Source organism: Homo sapiens, chromosome 12 (assembly GCF_000001405.40).
Source record: "Homo sapiens chromosome 12, GRCh38.p14 Primary Assembly".
Taxonomy (NCBI): Eukaryota; Metazoa; Chordata; class Mammalia; order Primates; family Hominidae; genus Homo; species Homo sapiens.
In genome coordinates this window covers 94,028,544-94,049,380 of record NC_000012.12, presented here as the reverse complement: position 1 = coordinate 94,049,380, position 20,837 = coordinate 94,028,544, and the positions used below count along the sequence as shown (strand labels likewise).

The following is a 20,837-nucleotide window of genomic DNA, read 5'->3' as shown; positions in this document are numbered from 1 at the left end:
TGCCATTGCACTCCAGCCTGGGCGACAAGGTGAGACTCTGTCTCAAAAAAAAAAAAAAAAACTTGTGGTGTTTCGGCTGCTAAGTTTACAGTCACTGGTTATGTACCATAGAAAATGAATATATATAGGGTGGTCAAAGAAAGTCTCTCTGAGAATGTGACTTGTAAACTGAGGGTGAGGAGTCAACCAAGGGAAGAGTGACAAGACAGAGAGTTCCTGGCAAAGGACTCTGAGGTGGGGAAGAAGTGAAGGAGTTCAAGAACAGAAAAGTGGCCGGTCCAGCTAGAGCCCAGCAGGTGAGGGACGGAGAGAGGAACAAGAGGAAGGCAATGTGGATAAACTTTTAACCTTTTACAAACACAGGACACTTCTCTCTTACTCAAGTTCAAAGCCACATCTGTGAATGTGGTATCAGATAAGCTTCTATAAGAAAGGGACTCCAAAACAGAGTGCCTTAAGTAGGAGAGAAGTTTGCTTTTATTCCATGCAATGGAGCAGAGGAAGGTGAGAGGTTTAGAGCTGGTGTGGTTGGTTGCTGGCTGGATAGACGTGCAACTTTCAGAATGTGGTTTTTTTTCCTGGGCCTGAGGTGGCTCCTTCAGTTCTTCCAATTTTCCAGCCAGTGGGAGGGGAAAAGTAAGAATGGAAGGCTTGGTGTTTCTGTATTAAAACAACAACAACAACAACCACCACCACCAAAAACACTGTGATTTGGAAGTTGTGCTCATCGATTCTGTGCTCAACCCGTTGGCCAGAGCCCAATCCTGTGACCACACCTACGGCCACAGAGTCCCGGGTGGGTGTCTCTAGCTCACCCCTGGGGAGTCCCATGTCTTAAGAGTTCCCTGCTAACTCAGAGCTGTGTTTCTAAAAGTTAGAGTATAGCCTCTGGAGAACAATGAGCAGTCTCTGTCCCAGCTTAACCTTATTTAGCCATAAGGCTGGACACATCTTTAGCTTTCTCCCAAGGCTCCAGGATGGTAGAGGTGACATTCAAAGTGGACTGTCACTTGTCTTCTCTCATCTCTCCAATGATTTCCCAAGAATAGAATAGGATGAGCAGCCAAATAGTGGGCGCGAAGGCTTGTCTCTTTCATTTCCAGCACAGCCCTGGAAAAAAAATCTCCCTACCTCACCTGCAATCACTCCTCCCTGGTCAGAATGTTTCTGCCATTTGGGCTTCATCTTATAGCCTTCGTGCCCATCAGCCCTGAGGGCAGGCAGTTTATGTGTTTGGCATGCCCTGTAACTCTCCAGCATTCTGAACCTTTACTGCAAGTCAGAGGCATTTATTAATGCTGCTAATAATAGTACCTAGCAGGGAAGGACTGGCACAAACATGCAAGAAGCAGCGTTTCCCTTTACTGTGCTTTCATTGTTCACTGGAACATGACAGATGGAGATAAATTCAGACTTGCCTTTTCAGTTCCGTCACTTGGGTTACTGATCCCATTACTAGAAGTTGTGCTTTGCTGGTGCCCGTAGAAACATGCAGCAAATAACAGGCTGTAGGGTGTTCTCATGCTCCATTCGTGCAGCCTGAAACAGAAAAGTTTGGTTTCTGAGAAAGCTGCAGGTTCCATCTCTGTAGCCTGAGGTTGTTTTGAAATGAGGCGGCCATAAAAGCTGAGCACAAGCCGAATCTTGCCTGCCTTCTTGCTTGCAAAGTGCAAAAAGGCAAGCAGAGAAAGCAAAATTACCTGTCTTTGTGTGCCTTTGTGTATCCCTATCTCTCAGTCTTTTACTTTGAAAAATTTCTCTATTTAGAACTGTGTAAATTGATATCAATTGCTAATCTCATTGAAGCCAGGTTTATGCCAAAAACTATGCAGGGAGCCTCCCAGGTATTATTTCTTTTGAACCTCGATAACTCAGTGCTATGTTGTTATTCCCATTTCATAGAGGAGGAAACCAAGGCAGGGAGAAATTCAGGTTATATGTTCAATGTAGCACAGTTGGTAAGGGGCAGAGGTAGAATTTGAACCTGTGTTTTTGTGACCCTAGAACCTGCAGTGGCAACCCCAATATCCTATTGCCTGTTGAGAGAGCAGAGGAGAGTTTGCAATCTCCAGTTGCTTCTTTCCACCACGGGCTGGCAGCTACTGGCCATTCCTATTGTGGAAAGCAAAAGGCATCCCAGCCTGGGAAACCAGCTGGATTTCATCACATCAGCTGAAGTCACGTCAGCTGACTTCAGGTCAGCTGAAGGTGTAGTCACCTGCCTCCACTTCCACTTTCCCTTCACAACTCTCTGTCACCCCACTCACCCCAGTCCTGACACACCAGATGGCTGCTTTTCTACCTGGTTAGTTACTGGGTACTGCAGGCCTCTGTTTCTCCAGGCTTCTTCACCAGTGTTTCTGCTGCAGGATAGGTTCAACGCAGCTTTCGTTGGCTGGTCTAGGACTTGATACAGTGGGCTGCACACTGAGCTCTGAACCAGGAATTCACAAATAAGTTGTTAGGACCTGCCGTGGTCTGAATGTGTTCCCTCTCCCCTCCCCCCAACAAATTCATATGTTGAAACTTAACTGCCAATGTGATAACATTAAGAGGTGGGGCCTTTAGGAGATGAGTAAGTCATGAAGGCTCTGCCTGTTACGAATGGGATGAGTACTCTTATAAAAGAGCTCAAGGGAACTAACTAGATCCCTTTTGTCCTGCCTTCTGCCATACGAGGACATAGCAATAAGGCACCATCTGAAAGCAGAGAGTAGCCCTTAGCAGACACTGAATGTGTTGGTGCCTTGATCTTGGATTTCCCAGCCTCCAGGACTGTGAGAAAATAAATCTCTGTTCTTTGCAAATTACCCAGTCTTGGATATTGTGTTATAGCAGCAGAAACGAACTGAGACAGGACTCTACTCATGTATTGTTTGATGAGTCTCCCGTAGTCCTGCCATAAGAAACTGAGTGCAGGCCAGGTGCCGTGGCTCACGCCTGTAATCCCAGCACTTTGGGAGGCCGAGGTGGGCAGATCATGAGGTCAGGAGATCAAGACCATCCTGGCTAACATGGTGAAACCCCGTCTCTACTAAAAAATGCAAAAAATTAGCCGGGCGTGGTGGTGGGCACCTGTAGTACCAGCTACTCAGCAGACTGTGGCAGGAGAATGGCGTGAACCCGGGAGGCAGAGCTTGTAGTGAGCCGAGATCGTGCCACTGCACTCCAGCCTGGGCGACAGAGGGAGACTCCATCTCAAAAAAAAAAAGGAAAAAAATAAAGGAAACTGAGTGCAAAAACATGCCCGTGCAAAAGTGATCTGTTGAGAGTAATGTATCATGTTGTGAAGGGGTTCACTCACTGTGAGAACATGGTGGAAATGAAGAACACTAGCCTGGGATTCAAGTGAAGCTGTCCTTTCCTGAGCGCTTACTGTGGACTGGGCACTGTGCTGGCCTCTTGCCTACCTGATTTCATGCAGGCCTCAAAATTGTTTTGTGAAGTAGGCTGCCTTATCGATATTTTACAAATGAGAAAACTGAGGCTAGATATATTAACTGGCTTTTCAAGGGCGGTTTGACTTGTAAAGTGGAGTCTTCAGTTTCCAATGCCAATGTTCTTTTTTCTTTCTTTCTTTCTTTTTTTTTAACTCAGCTACTAATTTACTTTATAATCTTAAGGGGAAAAAAACCCTTTTGGCCTTATTTTCATATCTTTAAAATGAGAGGTTAGATTAGATCACGGTTTTCTAATTTGTGTTCCAAGAAACTCCTAGTTAGGTGATCATAGCTACAGGCTTTTGAGCTACTCAAACTTGGATTCGGGTTGCAGCTTAAAAAAATTTTATTTTTTTGTACAGACAGGGTCTTGCTATGTTGCCCAGGCTAGTCCTGGCTTCAAGTGATCCTCCTGCCTCAGCTTCCCAAAGTGCTGGGATTACAGGAGTGAGCCACTGCACCCGGCCAAGGGTATTCAGCAAATTTACCAAGGACCTATTATGTGTTGGGCATTGTTCTAACCAAAGGTGATAACTGATAATAAATTGACCTCAGAGAGGCTTTGGCAGAGTTTGAAAGAGATGAACAAGCAAATAAGAAGACAATATCAATGATAAACCCAACAAAAGAAATAGTCAGGGTGCTGTTACAGAAAATAAGGGGGGACCTTAGGGTGGTTAGGGAAAGCTTTTTGAGTTAAGGCTTGAAGAAAGGAAGGAGCTAGGTAAAGAACATTTCAGGCAGTGGAAAGAAGTACAAAGGTCCTGAGGCAGAACAGGGTTTGAGACAGTGGAGAAATGGAAATAAGGCCTGTATCACTGATGCATAGTGACCAAGGGGAAGAGTGGACAGAGGAAAGAGGAAATCACATAGGACCTATAAGGAGTTGGGAGCAATAGCATTAATGATAATTATGAATAATAAACTTGCTAATCAAATTGCTAATAACTTGCTAGACCTGTACTATGCCCTTTATTCACCTTAAGAGTTAGGAAACAGTTACCTTGGGCAAGTTATTGAAATTTGCTAAAACTCAGTTTTCCCATCTGCTAAGTGATGATAACAATGTACCCCTTTCATGGAAATGCTGAGAAGATTAAATGAATTTAGCTCCAAATCTGGCTCAGAGTTAGCTCCCAGGGAACAGTGGCTATTCCTGAGAGGAAGGAGGAGGACAGGCACAGGACTTGGGTCTCATCTCTTGATTCAGCCAATGCTTTTCCAAGATGATTTGTTTTCCTCATTGGCCTTTGCAGAAAGTGTTGTCTATTAAAATCTGTTTTAAATCTGGTCAGATTGAAATTCCTCGTCAGACTTCAAGGCTCCATCCAAGTGTACCCTTTGGAGGCCCAAGTGTTGATGGTAGATAGCACTCGCCTGTCCCCGACCCCCTCTGGCATATTCCAGTCCCCTCTTAGAGATCCCTGACTTCTTGTCAGACTCAGGAGGACAACAACTCCCAGATAAAGGCTTAGAAACCAAGGGCAGCAGAGAACCAGAATGAAGACCAAGCATTTCTGAAAAGACCATGGCAATCAGTGGGGACATCTGAGTAGATTCATAGCTAACTTCTCAGGATCTCATTGGGGATATTAACTTATAGAAGATTGTCTGCTTGAAACTCTGTGTTTCTCACTGGGAGCCCAGTTGAATGTTATTTTCTAGGCAGGACTCGTGGGATTTAGTATAAGGCCTAGGGGGAGGTTATTTCTGGAGGATGCTGTTGGTTGCTCACCAAGTAGCCATTTTCTTACCCTTTCTCAGGCCAGCACAGTTCATTGCCCATAGAGGCAGAAAATGCAGATTCTCAATTCCATAGCCTCCCTTGCAACTATGACAATAGTCATGTGACCCAATATTGGCCAATTAAACCAGAGGAGAGCTCTGCTGGAGAGTTTCTGGGCAAGATATATTCTTTTCCCTTTGTTTTTTTGAGATGGAGTCTCACTTTCTCACCCAGGCTGGAGTGCAGTGGCGCAATCTCTGCTCTCTGCAACCTTCACCTCCCAGGTTCAGGTGATTCTCCTGCCTCAGCCTCCCGAGTAGCTGGGATTACAGCCATCCGCCACCACGCCCAGCTAATTTATTTATTTTTAGTAGAGATGGGGTTTCACTATCTTGGCCAGGCTGGTCTCGAACTCCTGACCTCGTGATCCACCTGCCTTGGCCTCCCAAAGTGCTGGGATTGCAGGTGTGAGCCACTGCGCCCAGCCTGGGCAAGATATATTCCATGTGATAAGGGAAATAGATAAGAGGAAAAGCCATGACTCCTCCTTCCTAGCATTTTGTATGTGCATTTGTCAAGACATTATATATGCAGCCTTAGCAGCCATCTTGCAGTAGTGAGGGAGAGTCTCTGAGAAGCCCTGATGATATGGTTTGGCTGTGTCCCAACCCACATCTCACCTCTAATTTTAATAATCCCTACGTGTGGTGGGAGGGACTCGGTGGGAGGTAATTGAATCATGGGGGCAGGTCTTTCTCATGCTGTTCTCATGATAGTGAATATGTCTCATAAGATGTTTTATAAAGGGGAGCTCTCCTGCACACACTCTCTTGCCTGCTGCCATGTAAGACGTGTCCTTGCTCCTCTGCCTTCACCATGATTGTGAGGCCTCCCCACCCATGTGGAACTGTGAGTCCATTAAACCTCTTTTTTCCCTTTATAAATTACCCAGTCTTGCATATGTCTTTATTAGCAGAATGAGAATGGACTAATACACCTGCTATGGTTGAGCCATTGATCCACCTGTCACTGGACCACTGTTATGTGAGACAAAGAAATCCCTTTAATTTAAGCCCATTATCTCTGGCTACTCAGTTATGTGCAATTGAAAGCATCTTAACTGATACATCTCTGCTCCTTTTCATCCTTTCTCATTACTCTCCCCTTTGGAAAGAATCAGAGAGCCCTTTTCACCTGTTCAGTGATGTCAACAATTTTTTAAAAAGAAACAAAGACTTTCATTTCTGGGGTGCTCTTAGGTCCAGCTTGCCCAGGACCCTTCCAGAGCAGCTGTGGTTTATTCCTGTGGTTCTGGTGTAATTTTTAAGAGTACTCAAAAATGTTCTTGGATGGATGATAAATTATTTGGTCACATTATTTTCCTTTTTCAGAGGAAAAGCTTCAGTGTGGATGTCTCTGGAAGAGAGAGAGAGAAAATACACAGCTTTCAAATTCACAATAAAAGGGTAAATGGTGAACCCCAGGGTTTGGGGGGTGGGGTAGGCAGAACTGGAGGGAGCACTTGCCATGAAAGAGGTTCCCTAGAGTAGGGAGGAGGCCCAGAAAGAGCAAACTTGGAGCTCTAAAGGCAAACTGCATGCACTTCCCAGCTTTTCCAGTGACCTGCCCTGCTTCTAAGAGCACGCAGAGCCTTTGTTGGTGTGTTTCTGATCTTTCTCTGCTGCCTTTTCACACAGTCCTAATCCACTTTCTACCAACACCCCTGGGGTGAGTGGAGCCTAAGACTTAGCCAAGAAGTCTGAAACTCTTCCCTGTGGTTTTTGTCTGAACCCAGACAACTCCCTGTTTCTTTCTGAGCTCTTTCCGAGACCATTACAGGATTGACAATGGCAACATACGAAGTGGGTAATGTCACTCTCACTCACGCTATTTCAATTCCTTTCTTTCCAGACTTTTCCAGACCCCTCATAACTGGAAGGTGTGTGGAGTGCACCCCGTCTCCACTCCCTCTGTTGTACCTCCCTCCTGTGGGAAGAAAAGCAATTCACAAACCAGGCAGTTTATCCCTGCTGAACAACACGTTGTTAAATGCATAATTTAGTCTTGATGTAAATTATACAGGCTCATTATCTGTGAGAAAATCTGGCTGCCCTGTGAGCCAGTTAGAATGATGAGCAACGTGCCTGGAGCCCCAGTAGCTGTCCCTGAGGAGTTGAATCCAGGAACAGAAGGAGCCCTTGTGCTCCCAGAGGCAGCACCAGGCATCAGGCCTCAGTTCTAGCCAATCTGCTGGGACTGGGGCTAGGCAGGGGGCCCTGAAAAGCGAGACCCTGCTTCTTGCACAGAGACATGCTTCTTTCTTGCTGCCTTCTGTGCCTGATCATCCAGGTGACTATTAGGGCTTGTGCAGTAGAACAAAGCAGGAGAAATGACTGAGGGGATGCGGGTCACAGGGGACACTTGGCTGGAGTTGGGGAAAGATTGGGCTGGAATCAATGCCTAGAATCCTCATCATTCATAATCTGGATCTGTGGGAAACTGGTAGGCTCCTTGAAGGGGGGACCTCAATGCTGAAAGAGAAGTCTTTTAACTCATTCAGTAATAACTATCTGAGTGCCTACTATATCTTAGGCACTAAACTAGGGTCAGAGGCTACAAGAGTAAACAAAACACAATTGTTGTCCCTAGATGCTTTCAGTTTACTGGGAATTTCAGACAAGATAACAGGTAGTTACAAAGGAGTATTGATGTCACTGGTAAACACACACACACACACACACACACACACACACACACACACGCACATTAAAAATTACCCAGCAAGATGTCTGTGTGTCCTTCAGTGTCATTCTAAAGCCTTGTCTAATGGGCCAGCCCAAGCGTCATCTGAAATCCTTGATTTGGCTCACTATCACAAATTCTTATGGTCTAGATCCTGAAAAGTTAGATCTTAATTTGTAGGAAATTGATAAGTTGCAAATGATTTTTGTCTGGCAGAGATGTAAATGATTTCTCTCCATTGGAATAAACAGTTCCAAAGGGTTATAATTGTGTTGCTTCTAGGACATTATTCAGTTTTGTACCTAGGTCAGCAGTCTTACTTCAGCATCCTTGCTTTCACTGACTATTCTGTATATACTCAGCTTCTTATAGGTTCCTTCAATCCAACTTTATCATCCTGCTGGTTCTCTCATTAACGAGTTAAATAAATCTTTGGCATAGACTTTGATGTATTTGCATGAGAGTCACACCTTTAACTTTTTGGAAATTATCATCTGACACCTTAGAGGTAAGACCACCTTAGTGGTAAGGGGTAAAAGACAAGAAACATGAAATCCAGTCTTAGGGGTTTAGGGAAGATTTCTCAGAGAGGGCATCTAAAGTCAGATATGAAGGACAAAGGAGTTAGCTAGGCAAGGATGGATGCGGGAAAGTGTACTAGGTGGGAGATTAGTATACACAGAGGCCAGAGATGAGACAGTTGCATTAACACTAGAAGCCCAAGAAGGTGAGCGGTGAGCAGCAGGGATGGAGAGGTAAGGAACGGTCAGACTGGAATGGACCTCAGTGCTATGCCAAGGAGCTTGGTCTTTATAAAGAGGGCACTGTAAGTCATTAACAAGTTTTTAAACAGGTGCAAAATGTGGTTGGATTTGGCTTCTGGGTTCACTGTCTTGTAAGCCAGGTGGGAAACTCATTCATTGTAGACTAATTGTAGCCTGCTGAGGTTGCTTCTAAGATTCCTATGTAATTCTGGTTCCCTCCAGTTTGCTCTACAATTAAAAGACATTGGTGAATAAATTTATGGACACAATTCCTATACGTTAGCTGGAATGCCCAACAATGGATATTTATCATGTTTAAGGTTTTCCTTTTCTAACCTTGTCAAAAATATAGAGAAAGCAGAAGTGCAAAAAAAAAAAAAAAAAAGTGCAAGGCTCACATATTTTAAAGTGAAATTCTCAGCAACGGACAAATCAGAGCTGAAGGGGAGACTCCAGAGACCAGCTATTAGATGAAATTGCTTTGGTCGGAAAGGTTGCTGCCTTTTTCAAGTTTCCTTAGCCAGATGTTTCCGCTTAAGCAATAAATTGTGAAACATTTTTGCATTTTTGGCACAAGGGATCATTTATTCGGTTATGACGTAGTTTGCAGAGGACTTTTCAGCATTGATAGCACTTTTGTTTCTTGTCCCACTTAATTTTCATAAGAGCCTGTGAGGCAGAGAGGCTGTCTGCTGCCATGTCCATTTTATAGATGGAGAAGCCAAGGTCCAGAAAGGGTCAGTGGTTTGCTCAGCCACCACTACAAATTAGTCAGAGCCTGTAAAAGGAAGATCTTGTCACCATAGCCTTGTCTGACACTACCATGGAAAATTTTACCTAGTGGGTTTTTAATAAATGCAATGAAGTGTTCTTAATATGTATCAAATTATATAATTATACATCTATATGCTTACTGTTGATTAAGGCCACTAAATTGTAACCTTCATTAAGGCAGTTTTCAATTTTCTGTTGCTGTATAACAAATGACCCCAAAACTTAGTAGCTCAAAACCAACAATTAATTAGTTTTCATGATCCTATAAGCCAGGAATTTGGGCATGGCTCAGCTGGGTGGTTCTTCTGTTCCACATGGTGTCAGCAGGGGTCACTCAAATATATTATGCTAGTGATTGGGTTGGACTATAAGATGGTTAATTTTATGTGTCAAATTGCCTGGACCACAGTGCCCAGATATTTTGTCACACATTATCCTGGTGTTTCTGTGAGGGTACTTTTGGACATGATAAACATTTAAATTAGTAGACTTTGAATAAAGCAGATTGCCCTCCATCAGATGGGTGGGCCTTGCCCAATTAGTTGAAGGCCCAAATCAAATACAAGACTGACTTTACCAAAACAAGAAGGAATTCTCCAATAGATGGCCTTTGGACTTGAACTGCAATATCAGCTCTTCCCTGGGTCTCCAGCCTGCTGGCCCACCCTGCAGATTTTAGACTTACCAATCTCTATAACTGCATGAACTAATTCTTTAAACCTCTCTCTCTCTCTGTATATATGTATATGTATATGACCACTCCTTCTTTACACGTCTAGCTTGGGCTTCTTTGCAGCATGGTGGCCTCAGAGTAGTCAAACTAATACATGGTAGCTGGGATATAAGAAAAGTGAAAGCTGCCAGTCCTCTTAAACCTTGGACTTTGAATCTCAGAATATCCCCTCTAATGTAATGTATTCATCAAAGCAAGTCACACACCAGCTCAGATTCAAGGTGAGGGTAAATAGATTCTACCTCTTAATGAGAGGATTGACAGAGTCACATTGCAAAATACATGAGGGGTGGAAGATACTATTGCAACCATTTTTGCAGGGACCGTGTTTTATTCTTAATGTATTTCCCAAACTCTTAAGAGTTTTGGGGAATATTTAATGTAACAATGTATACAAAGAGCTGAGCACAACAAATATTCCTTAAATAACTGTATGTATTCATTTGTGGATAGATGGATGGTGATAGAGTTTGGATATTTGTTCCCTCCCAAATCTCATGTTGAATTGTAATTCCCAGTACTGGAGGTGGGGCCTGGTAGGAGGTGTTTGGCTCATGGAGGCGAATCCCTCAGGGCTTCATGCTGTCTTCCTGATAGTGAGTTCTCATGAGATCTGGTCATTTAAAAGTGTGTGGCATTTCCCCATCCAATTTGTCTCTCGCTCTTTCTCTCCTGCTCCTGCTTTTGCCATGTGTTGTGTCGGCTCCTTCTTCACCTTCCACCATAATTGTAAGCTTCCCGAGGCCCCTCTAGAAGCTGAGCAGATGCCAGCATCATGCTTCCTATAAAGCCTGCAGAGGCTTAATTGGCCTAAAGAGCCAATTAAATATCTTTTCATTATAAATTACCCAGTCTCAAGTATTTCTCTATAGCAACGCAAGAATGGCGTAATGCAGATGGAAAATGTGCCCAGGGTGTGTGATTGTGACTCACAGACTCACAGGTGACCCCAATCGTTACTACACCTCATGTCTACCCATAGATAGTCCTTTGAGAAACAAGATAGGGCTGTAGTTAAGAGCTTGGGTTTTGAATTCAGACCACAGGGCTCCAGATTCAGTCTCCACTACTTGGGAGCTGTGGGATCTTGGATAAGTCATTTAGCCTCTTTGTGTTTCAGCATTCTCACCTATAAGAAACTTGTGTTAATAACACTCACCTCTTAGGATTGTTGGGTTCCTTATTAATGCAAGTGAGATAATATAAGTAAAGGGCACAGTACAGGTTTAGCAATTTATTAGTAACTTTATTAGTCTATTTATTTATTATAAATAATTATTACCATTATTAGAGTTGTGCCCATGTTTATGTACTACCTGCTGTAATCTATTGCTTTTCCTTTCTGTGCATGTACCATCTTTCTTTCTGAACACTGCTATTCCATCTGTGACTGCAGTTTCTCGGCAAGCCACCACTGTGCCACATCATTTGAAGCTGGGGGGAAAAGAAAATAAGAGTTGGTGTTGCTCCGTGTCATCACTTCCCCTGACAGCTGCTTGGCGCCTCTTCCAGTTTCTCCCCGACTTCCACTCCCCATGGCCTGCCTCCTGGAGCTGCTTTCAGGCAGACATTTTTGGGTAGTGGCTGGCTGGCTGTTGGCCAGGGTTTCATCAGGGCCACTTCTCAAAGTCTGTGTTAAAGTTGGCTCTGTCAAGTGCCTAAAGAAGCAGGATGTGTTGCTGGAAGATGGTTTGGCCCCATGGTATGCAGTTTGCCTGCAGCTCTGAGCTGCAAACCTCCAGTTCTTTGTTGGTGCTATATTCTATCTTGCGGGATTCCAAGGGCATCCAGGCTTTCTGGATTAGGTACTGAAATGGAGATGAATGAGTTCGGCATTGAATTCTGGCTTTGGCTTGAATTGTGTATACCTGAGTTTTGTTGGCTTATATCTCCATTATGCCAGACAAAGGCTCTATCAGTCATTTATTGCTCCTATAGTTGTTTCTTCCTCTAGATTATGAAGAGTGAGGAGATTTTGGCAACTCATTATTTGATTTATGGCAAGTAACTTCCTGATTGCCAAGATTCTTATATTCACCAGGACTAGGACTATCTAGTTATTAATATACAGAGAGTTACCTACTCTCTGGAATGCAGAGTGCTTGGTAGCAGGGCTGCTCATATATGGTTGTTCAGGTTGTGCACTGCAAAAGGGTGCCCAACCAAGCGGGCTGGTGTGGGTAAAATTCAGCCCATGCTCAACTCACCAAGCCATCCACCCTGGCTCATATTGTAAAAGCGCCCTTTTCTAATTTGCACAGTCATGATGCAGATGTGCAGCAAGCCCTGCTTGGTAGGCTATGTGGAAGGGTTGACTTTGTACAGAAGGTAGAAAATGATGTTGGCAATTAGAAGCTGATCTTCAGAGGGCTTACTCTCAAGAAGAGACATTTATTGTTAAATAGTTCAATCCAGAGCTATCAGATTTTTTTCTCCCTTTCAATCTCACTGCCAGTGCATCCCTGGAATGCCTAGATGGTACCCATTTATCCAAATCTGTGCTGGAATAAGTCTCAACTTTCATTATGTATCATAAACACTTTTTGATGGGCTTGGGATGTCAGAACTAGTGTCTATTTTGTTTCTAAAAATCTAAGCCTGCGAAACTTTCTATTTTTCATCAGGAACTGGGGTCTTGTCAGTGGTTAAGATGTAACTCACAGAAACAGGTGGCTCAAATTTCCAGTGCTGTTCTTCTATAAACAGGAGCTAACATCTAGTGAGGACTTGCACTGTGTCAGGCACAGGTCACACAAATTACCCATTTAATCACCACAACAACCCTATGAGGTAGAGAATACTATTATCATCATTTTCCAGATGAAGAAACAGAGGCACAGAAAAGTTAAATAATTTGCCCAGAGTTCGTCAGATAGTGAGTTCTTAGTGAGCATAAGAAGGGCTTGCATTAGCGACCAGGGAAATGCAAATGAAAACCACAGTGGGATTCCACTGCACACCCACTGAGATGGCTATAATAAAAAGACAGGTAATAACATGTGTTGGTGAGGATGTGGAAAAATTGGAATGCTCATACACAGCTGGCGGGAATGTAAAATGGTGCAGCCACTGTGGAAAATTGTCTAGTAGTTTCTCAAAAAGTTGGGCATAGATTACCACATGATCCAGCAATTCCATACATAAGCATATGGCCAAGATAAATGAAAACATGTCCACAGAAAATCTTGTACATGTTTTTGTTTTTGTTTTTGTTTTGAGACAAATTCTTGCTCTATTACCCAGGCTGGAGTGCAGTGGCACGATCAAGGCTCACTGCAACCTCTGCCTCCTGGGCTCAAGTGATCCTCCTACCTCAGCCTCCCAAGTAGTTGAAACTACAGGCACATGCCACCACGCCCAGCTAATTTTTGTATTTTTTGTAGAGATGGGGTTTTGCCATGTTGCCCAGCTTTTCTCAAACTCCTAAACTCAAGTGATCTGCCTGTCTCGGCCTCCCAAAGTGCTGGGATTACAGGCATGGGCCACCACTCATGGCCTTGTATACGAGTATTCATAGCAGCATTGTTCATAATAGTTAACAGTGGGAACAACCCAAATGTACACTGTCTAATGAATGGAAAAATAAAATGTGGTATATCCATACAATGGAATATTATTTGGGCACAAAAAGAAATAAAGTACTGATACATGCTACTATTATATTGATGAATCTTTAAAAATTATGCCAAGTGAGAGAAACCAGTCACAAAGGGCCACATGTATAATTCCATTTGTTTGTAATATCCAGAATAGGAAAATCTGCAGAGACAGAAATAGATTTGTGATTGCCTTGGGCTAGGATAGGGGACAGAGGAGGAATTGGGGAGTGACAGCTAAGGGCATAGAGTTTCTTTTAGGGGATGATAGCAATGTTCTAAAATAAATTGTGGTGACGGTTGCACAGATTTGTGAGTACACTAAAAGCCATTGAACTATACACTTTATTATTTTTTATTTTTATTTTAAGTTCTGGGGTACATGTGCAGGATGTGCAGGTTTGTTACATAGGTACACATGTGCCATGGTGGTTTGCTGCACCTATCAACCCATCACCTAGTTATTAAGCCCAGCATGCATTAGCTATTTTTTCTAATGCTATCCCTCCCCAACCCCACCCCCAACAGGCGCCAGTGTTGTTCCCCTCCCTGTGTCCATGTTTTCTCATTGTTCAGCTCCCACTTATAAGTGAGAACATGTAGTGTTTGATTTTCTGTTCCTGCATTTGTTTGCTGAGGATAATGGCTTCCAGCTTCATCCATGTCCCTGCAAAGGACATGATATCATTCTTTTTTATGGCTGCATAGTATTCCATGGTGTATATGTACCACATTTTCTTTATCCAGTCTGTTGTCAATGGGCATTTAGGTTGATTCCATATCTTTGCTATCATGAATAGTGCCGTGATGAACATATGCTTGCAGGTATCTTTGTAATAGAATGATTTATATTCCTTTGGGTATGTACTATGTTTAAGCCAAGAACTGACAAGCGTGAATTTAAAAGAAAAAAAAAAGCCTTCAACTATTGAACTTGCAAAATAACCTTAGACCTCTAAACTTGCTCCAGGAGGAACCAGGGTCCCATAGCGGTGGAGCTTCCCAAGAGAACACACTAGTCAGCATTCCAGCTTGGACATGCAAAGGAGAGTGACACACAAGGCAGTGCTTCCTAGAGTCCAGCATTAGGTCAAATCAAGGAACTTCCCCCACAGCCAGGATTTCAGAATTGCTATGGGCAAAGACAGCTTCTTTTTTGGTTCCCTTGACTGAATGGGAGTTTTAATTTTGGATATCCTCTTTCTAATCCACCAGTGTGTAGGGGGTGGGGTGGGCAGATAACTTGTCTTCTAGTTCACAAGTCACCAGATCACAGGGAGCCAATCTGGACCCAATGGGGAGGACTGTACAACATCCCTGAGATCCTGGACTTTGAGATGATTGTAGTATCTACATGGTCAAAAGACCCTAAAAATAGGGTGTCTCATTTGGGATGCATGTGTTCTATATGAGGGGAAAGGAGTGAAATGAATGTTTGGTGATCAGATAGGTAAATTGTGGCAGACAATGACAATGCTATGTGATCATCAAACCTGATTTCCTTTTCTTTCTGGTCACTCAGTGAGCCAACACTTCCCATTTTTCTCTGGACTTTGGTGGTGCCATGTGACTGAGGTCTGGCCAATAAAATGTGTGTAAATAATGAAGAGAGGTGCAATTAAGAGGCCCCAGAGGTGGGGTTGAGCAGACATTTGGGTAAACAAGAGAGAGTAGTTGGTAGAATGAGGAAAAGTCTTCTGTTCCTACAGACTTTGACCAGCTGTTGGTGAGAACTCATGAGTTTCTGACAGGACTGCCACTATGCAGATTATGCACTAAACTAATGTGCCTGGCTGTCAGGGCACATGAAGGCTAAATTCTAGCCCACGTCCCACTCACCTAGCTGCTTGTCCTGGCACTAGGCTTCATTCACTGACTTTATCCACCTGGAATAAGGGGTACCTACCTCTCTGTCACCTTCTCCTCACCAAGCCAAGTACCTTTAGAGCTTTGTCTGCTGGAGGGAGACACAAGTTTTCCTCATCGCCTAGGAAGCACCTCTATCTAATTACCACAATGGAGCCACATGGGCTAGAGTTGTGACTCTCTCTCTGAATGTATTTGACATTGCTGGGGGCTATGTCAGACTTTTGACCATCTCCCACAGTGACTTTGCTTCTAGAGGTGGTGGAAACATGAGACTTTGGCTCATCAAATATCTTCAGTTTGAAACAAACCAAAAAAGTTTAGCCTTAGATTCAAAGAAATATTGAGCGACATGACTTACCTCTTTCCCCAGCTGCTTTTTACCATATACGGTAGGCTAACAGGAAGCCTCAGTTCTGGCAGCTCTTTGAATGTTCTGACAGCTCTCAGAACTACCAAGAACGGCTGAAAACTCATGCTCATCTTTGTGATCGTTTTTCTTCTTGCCTCCTTGATTTGGTATTTCTAGTAAACCTCCTCATTAAAGCCATATTAAGCGAACTCATAAATATGTATAGAGTCTTTTAAATTATCTGTTGATGGATAAGGACTCTGATACATTTACATAATGAGCTTTTAAAACATGCAGATACATTTTACAACTAGACCTGGGTGGGGGCTGGGTGAGGTGGAAAACTCAGGAGGAAAAACAAACTTAATCTTGACAACACTGAAGGTGCCTCTTTGCAGAAAGCCTTAGATTTCAGGGAAAAAAATTGTACTGCTGAGGAGCTTAGTTCCCATGCACAGATTTCAGAGAATATTAGGGATGTTGTCAAGTTAGGAGAGAGGTGAAGTGGAAGGAAATTACATCATGTTCCAAATGCTAACAGGGAAGCAAATAAATCAGAACCAAGTTAGTAAAGCAGCCAAAGCTAATTAGAGTGATAAACATTACTATGTTCATCGATATCTGATATCTATCCAGTTCCCCTTCACTTTGGGCACATGGGAGGGACAGATTCTGTGGTGTGAGATGTGGTCTGGCCAACAAAAAATGAGCAGAGGTGAGGTTGGTCACTTTTTTGGCAAAAACGTTTAAGGGCTGTTTTGCAATTTTTCCATGTTCTCTTTCTTTGGCTGCCAGTCTGGAGACATCAGCCTGAGTCCTAGAGTGGGATGCCGTGGGGCAGAGAACACTGGCAATACATGCTGGAACTGTGGCATGAGCTGGAAATGAACCTTTGTTGTTTTAAAACACTTAGAATTGGGGTGCTCTTTGTTACAATAGCAAAATCATGCTCATCCAGACTGATTGAACTGGGACCAGGGACTTGTAATTCTATTCCAGGGACAATCCTTTTTGGAATTGACCAGTTCCATTCCGAAGGAGTTTGTGGTCCAGAAAGAGATTGAGGAAGCTGAAACAAACCCCTTTTCCCTGTTCCCCAAAAGGGACCATTCAACTGGGTTCCCTAATTCTTATACCTAAAAGACAAGCATGGTCTTTCCAGTTTTCCTGAACTCCATGGTGTTTCTTCCCAGCTTGAGTAGAGGCTCCTGAAGGCTACTACAATTTGATGTTCAGAATAAGTAAATGCAATAAATGAATGCATCTGCCCCATCTGAAGGGCTATTATGATGGTTAGTGGTGATTTAATAAATTCACTCTGTTAAAAAAAAATGGAGCTCCCTCAGATGAAAATTGCTATATAAATCCTTAGTTCATAGTAATACCCTGACAGAGGGGAAAATGAGAAGGTACTGATGCCAAAAGTGTCCTAAATTAGAAATTGATTTTCATTCACAGAAGCAACAGAGGAGCTGGATGTTGCTTCCGGACTTGTAAGAGGCAACATGTCGCAGAGGGGGAGATAAATCATTTCTGTCCTTGCAACCTGAAGGAGATAAAAGCAAGATAAACACTAAGACTGTTTTTTTAAATTTTCCACACACTGTTTTTTTGTGCTCTATCTATGCAACTCATTTATTCATCACAAAACCCAGTGAGGTACCGTCAATTTACATATGGGGAAACTAAAACTGCCTTTGCAAAATTATCACAGTGAGAAAACTCCAACATAACTGACTCCATCTTGGCTAGAATTCTAGATGAAGGGGAGGAGTCTAGGCTGTGGATGGGTAACAGGCTCTTAAACCGTAGACACTGTACCCTGTAAGCAAGGGTACAAAAGGAGGAGGGTCCCTGTTCTAGGACCCAAGCTTTATAGCAGTGATGCTCAAACTTTCGCATGCAAAGGAACTTGGGAGAGCTTTGCAAAAACACCCACCCAGATACTTGGCGCCCACCCCAGATACTTGACGCCCACCCCAGATACTTGACGCCCACCCCAGATACTTGACGTTCGCCCCGCTACTTCCAAAGATTCAGATTCAGTTCGTGTGGGGTGGGGCCTGGGATTTTGCACTTCTAAGGAGCTCCTGGATTATGATGATGCAGTCCTCCCAAGACCATACTGGGGTGGCCTTGCTTTTAAGAGCCCCGTGCAGGCCCTCCTCCTTTTGTGCCCTTCCTTACAGGGCACAGTGTGTATGGTTTAATGGCCGGGGATGGAGTGAGGAAGGATTGTTTCATTCCCCCAAAAGTGATGAGAAAGAAGAGAGAGAGACTAGAAGAAATGAGTGAAAACTGGTTGAGAATGTGGAGAGGAAAGTTTGTATTTGCCTTGAAGTGGAGGAGATTCAACAGATGGGAGGGGAGAGGAAAAAGGAAATCAGTTTCATGACAGGAAGAAACAAAAACAACAGTAAGTTACCTTGCACCCGAGGCTGACATGTCGGTTAGATTTCCTTAGCTCACGGGGACAGCACACACACACACACACACACACACACACACACACACACAGAGCACATTTATACAACAACAAACCTGTGTTTTTTTTTTATTCTCCATGGTTTCCTCTGTGATCCCAGATTTATCATCGCACAAGCATTTCTAAATATTTGTTAGGACCAGATCAAAAGACCAAGCATTGAATGTCTCACTGAAACTCACTGTGCTTGTTGATCATGTTGTGAAGAATCAGTGTTTCTGTCATTCTCTTCTTCTATGGAGAGTCCCTGTCTACATTGGATGGAGGGGTTAGGAGAATTGGCAATTAAGTTTTTCTGTTTTGTTTTGTTTTTGAGACAGGGTCTTGCTCTTTCGCCCAGGCTGGAGTGCAGTGGTGCAATCATGTCTCACTGCAGCCTCGACCCCACAGGCTCTCCCACCTCAGTCTCCCAGGTAGCTGGGACCACAGGCATGCCCCATCATGCCCAGCTAACTTCTTTATTATTTGTAGAGTTGAACTCTTGCTATGTTGTCTAGGCTGGTGTCAAACTCCTGGGCTCAAGCAATCCTCCTGGCTCAGCCTCCCAAAGTGCTGGGATTACAGGCATGAGCCATCACACCCAGTCAATTAAGTTCTGAAAGAGTAATTATCTGGATTGTTTTTGTTCTACTTGTCTATTTTTTACAAGCCCAAAAGCTCTTCTGTCCCTTGCCTTTGGACATGTAATCACACTCAAACACCAATAGATACAAGTCCCCAAAGGTTGTCATTTCAACTTCCCCAATCCAGAAAATTTCACTCCAGCTCCCTAAGATTCTAGACTCTTACAGAAGTCCACCGGCAGCCTAGGAGTTGGGGTTGCTGTCCAGGGGAGATCATGCTTGCCAGTCACAGCATGGGCAACAGAGAGATTTATAGTGAGGGGTAAAAAGAGAAATAGAAGGAAACCATAAGTGTCCCTTTCATCTCCTGACCGTTATACCAAATAGGAGTGACAAGTAGAGTGTGATCACAAATAGTTTCATGGATATGCTTCTTTCCACGACTCTGCAGATCTAGTGGAGTAGAATTCATGGAGAAAGTCCTCAATGTCAAAGGATGAGCAGGCAGGGAAGGGATGTGGTAGAGAAAACTTGATGGAAAATTAGACAGTGATACTGTGGAAAGGGCCAGAGGAGACAAGGGTGTGTGGGCTCAACCTTGGTGGTGATTCTGTTACTGAGATCTTGTGTAATCTCATAGTTATTAAGAATCATGTGGACAGACGCAGTGGCTCACGCCTGTAATCCCAGCACTTTGGGAGGCTGAGGCGGGTGGATTACCTGAAGTCAGGAGTTCGAGACCAGCCTGGCCAACATGGTGAAACCCTGTCTCTACTAAAAATACGAAAATTAACCAGGTGTGGTTGCACACGCCTGTAGTCCCAGCTACTTAGGAAGCTGAGGCAGGAGAATCACTTGAACTCGGGAGGCGAGGTTTCAGTGAGCTGAGATCGTGCCACTGCACTCCAGCCTGGGTGACAGAGCAAGACTCTGTCTCAAAATACTACTACTACTACTACTAAAAAATCACTTTCCTATTCAATGTACCAAACTTTTAGGATGACATTTAGTTTCTCAAATGCTTTCTCTTCAAGTGGGGGAAGCATAGAAAGAGTTTTAGAGGGAAACTTGGTGAGAGGGTGAAACCTGTGTTTCTGATCTCTCATCTGTCCAGCAATGGATGCTAAGTCTCCATTAATTAAAGACCTTTTTCCAGTCCCTTAGTTGTGTCCAGCTGGGGGCTTCCAACATGCTAAAGTATTGACAGAGGGTCAGAAGAGGGGAAGGAGCTGGTCCTTCATCCCCACCTGTCTATGCTAGCATTCACTAATATACCCTCCTTCTCATCTGGCCTCCCATTGAGAGTCTACTCAGATGGCCACCTGTCTGCCTAGGCGCCCCACTTAGCTGGGTCTCTAATGCTACAGCCGAGCCTCACAGAGTACCAGGGAACTCTGCCAGGTTTTCCCTGCACTTTCTTTTTCCTCTTGGCCCCAGAAGCCAGGTGCAGGTCTTTCTCCATTCTCTGATCTCCGAAACCCACCTATGGTTTCTGTCGTTCCTCTCCCCAAGACTGGGATGGGGCATGTGGTCGGGAAGCAAAACCTCTTCTCAGGGACACATATATCTAGGTCTCATGTTCTCCTTGCATCCTTCTTGTGCCCCAGCTCACAGAACCTTGGTCAAGTCTCAGGTGAGGAAAACATTGCGACTGATCATACATCCTTCAAAAATTACATGGCATGAAATATATGCCCTCAGTCCTTCCAGGCTTTTACCCAATCTTAATATGTAAAAGCTGAGGTTTTCATGATTTTACTTTTCTGTTTCTGCATCAACAACCTTTCCATGAAGCA

General features: G+C 43.7%; 1 long non-coding RNA gene across 1 annotated transcript; it reads right to left on the bottom strand.

Annotated features, from left to right (window-relative positions):
- Nucleotides 1-1,342: 1,342 nt before the first annotated feature.
- LOC105369913 (uncharacterized) lies at nucleotides 1,343-10,872 on the bottom strand. The gene is made up of 4 exons (XR_945223.3): nucleotides 7,053-10,872; nucleotides 6,361-6,582; nucleotides 2,303-2,434; nucleotides 1,343-1,539 (listed from the first exon to the last, which is right to left on the bottom strand). It is a non-coding gene; the product is annotated as an uncharacterized LOC105369913 (long non-coding RNA).
- Nucleotides 10,873-20,837: the final 9,965 nt, after the last annotated feature.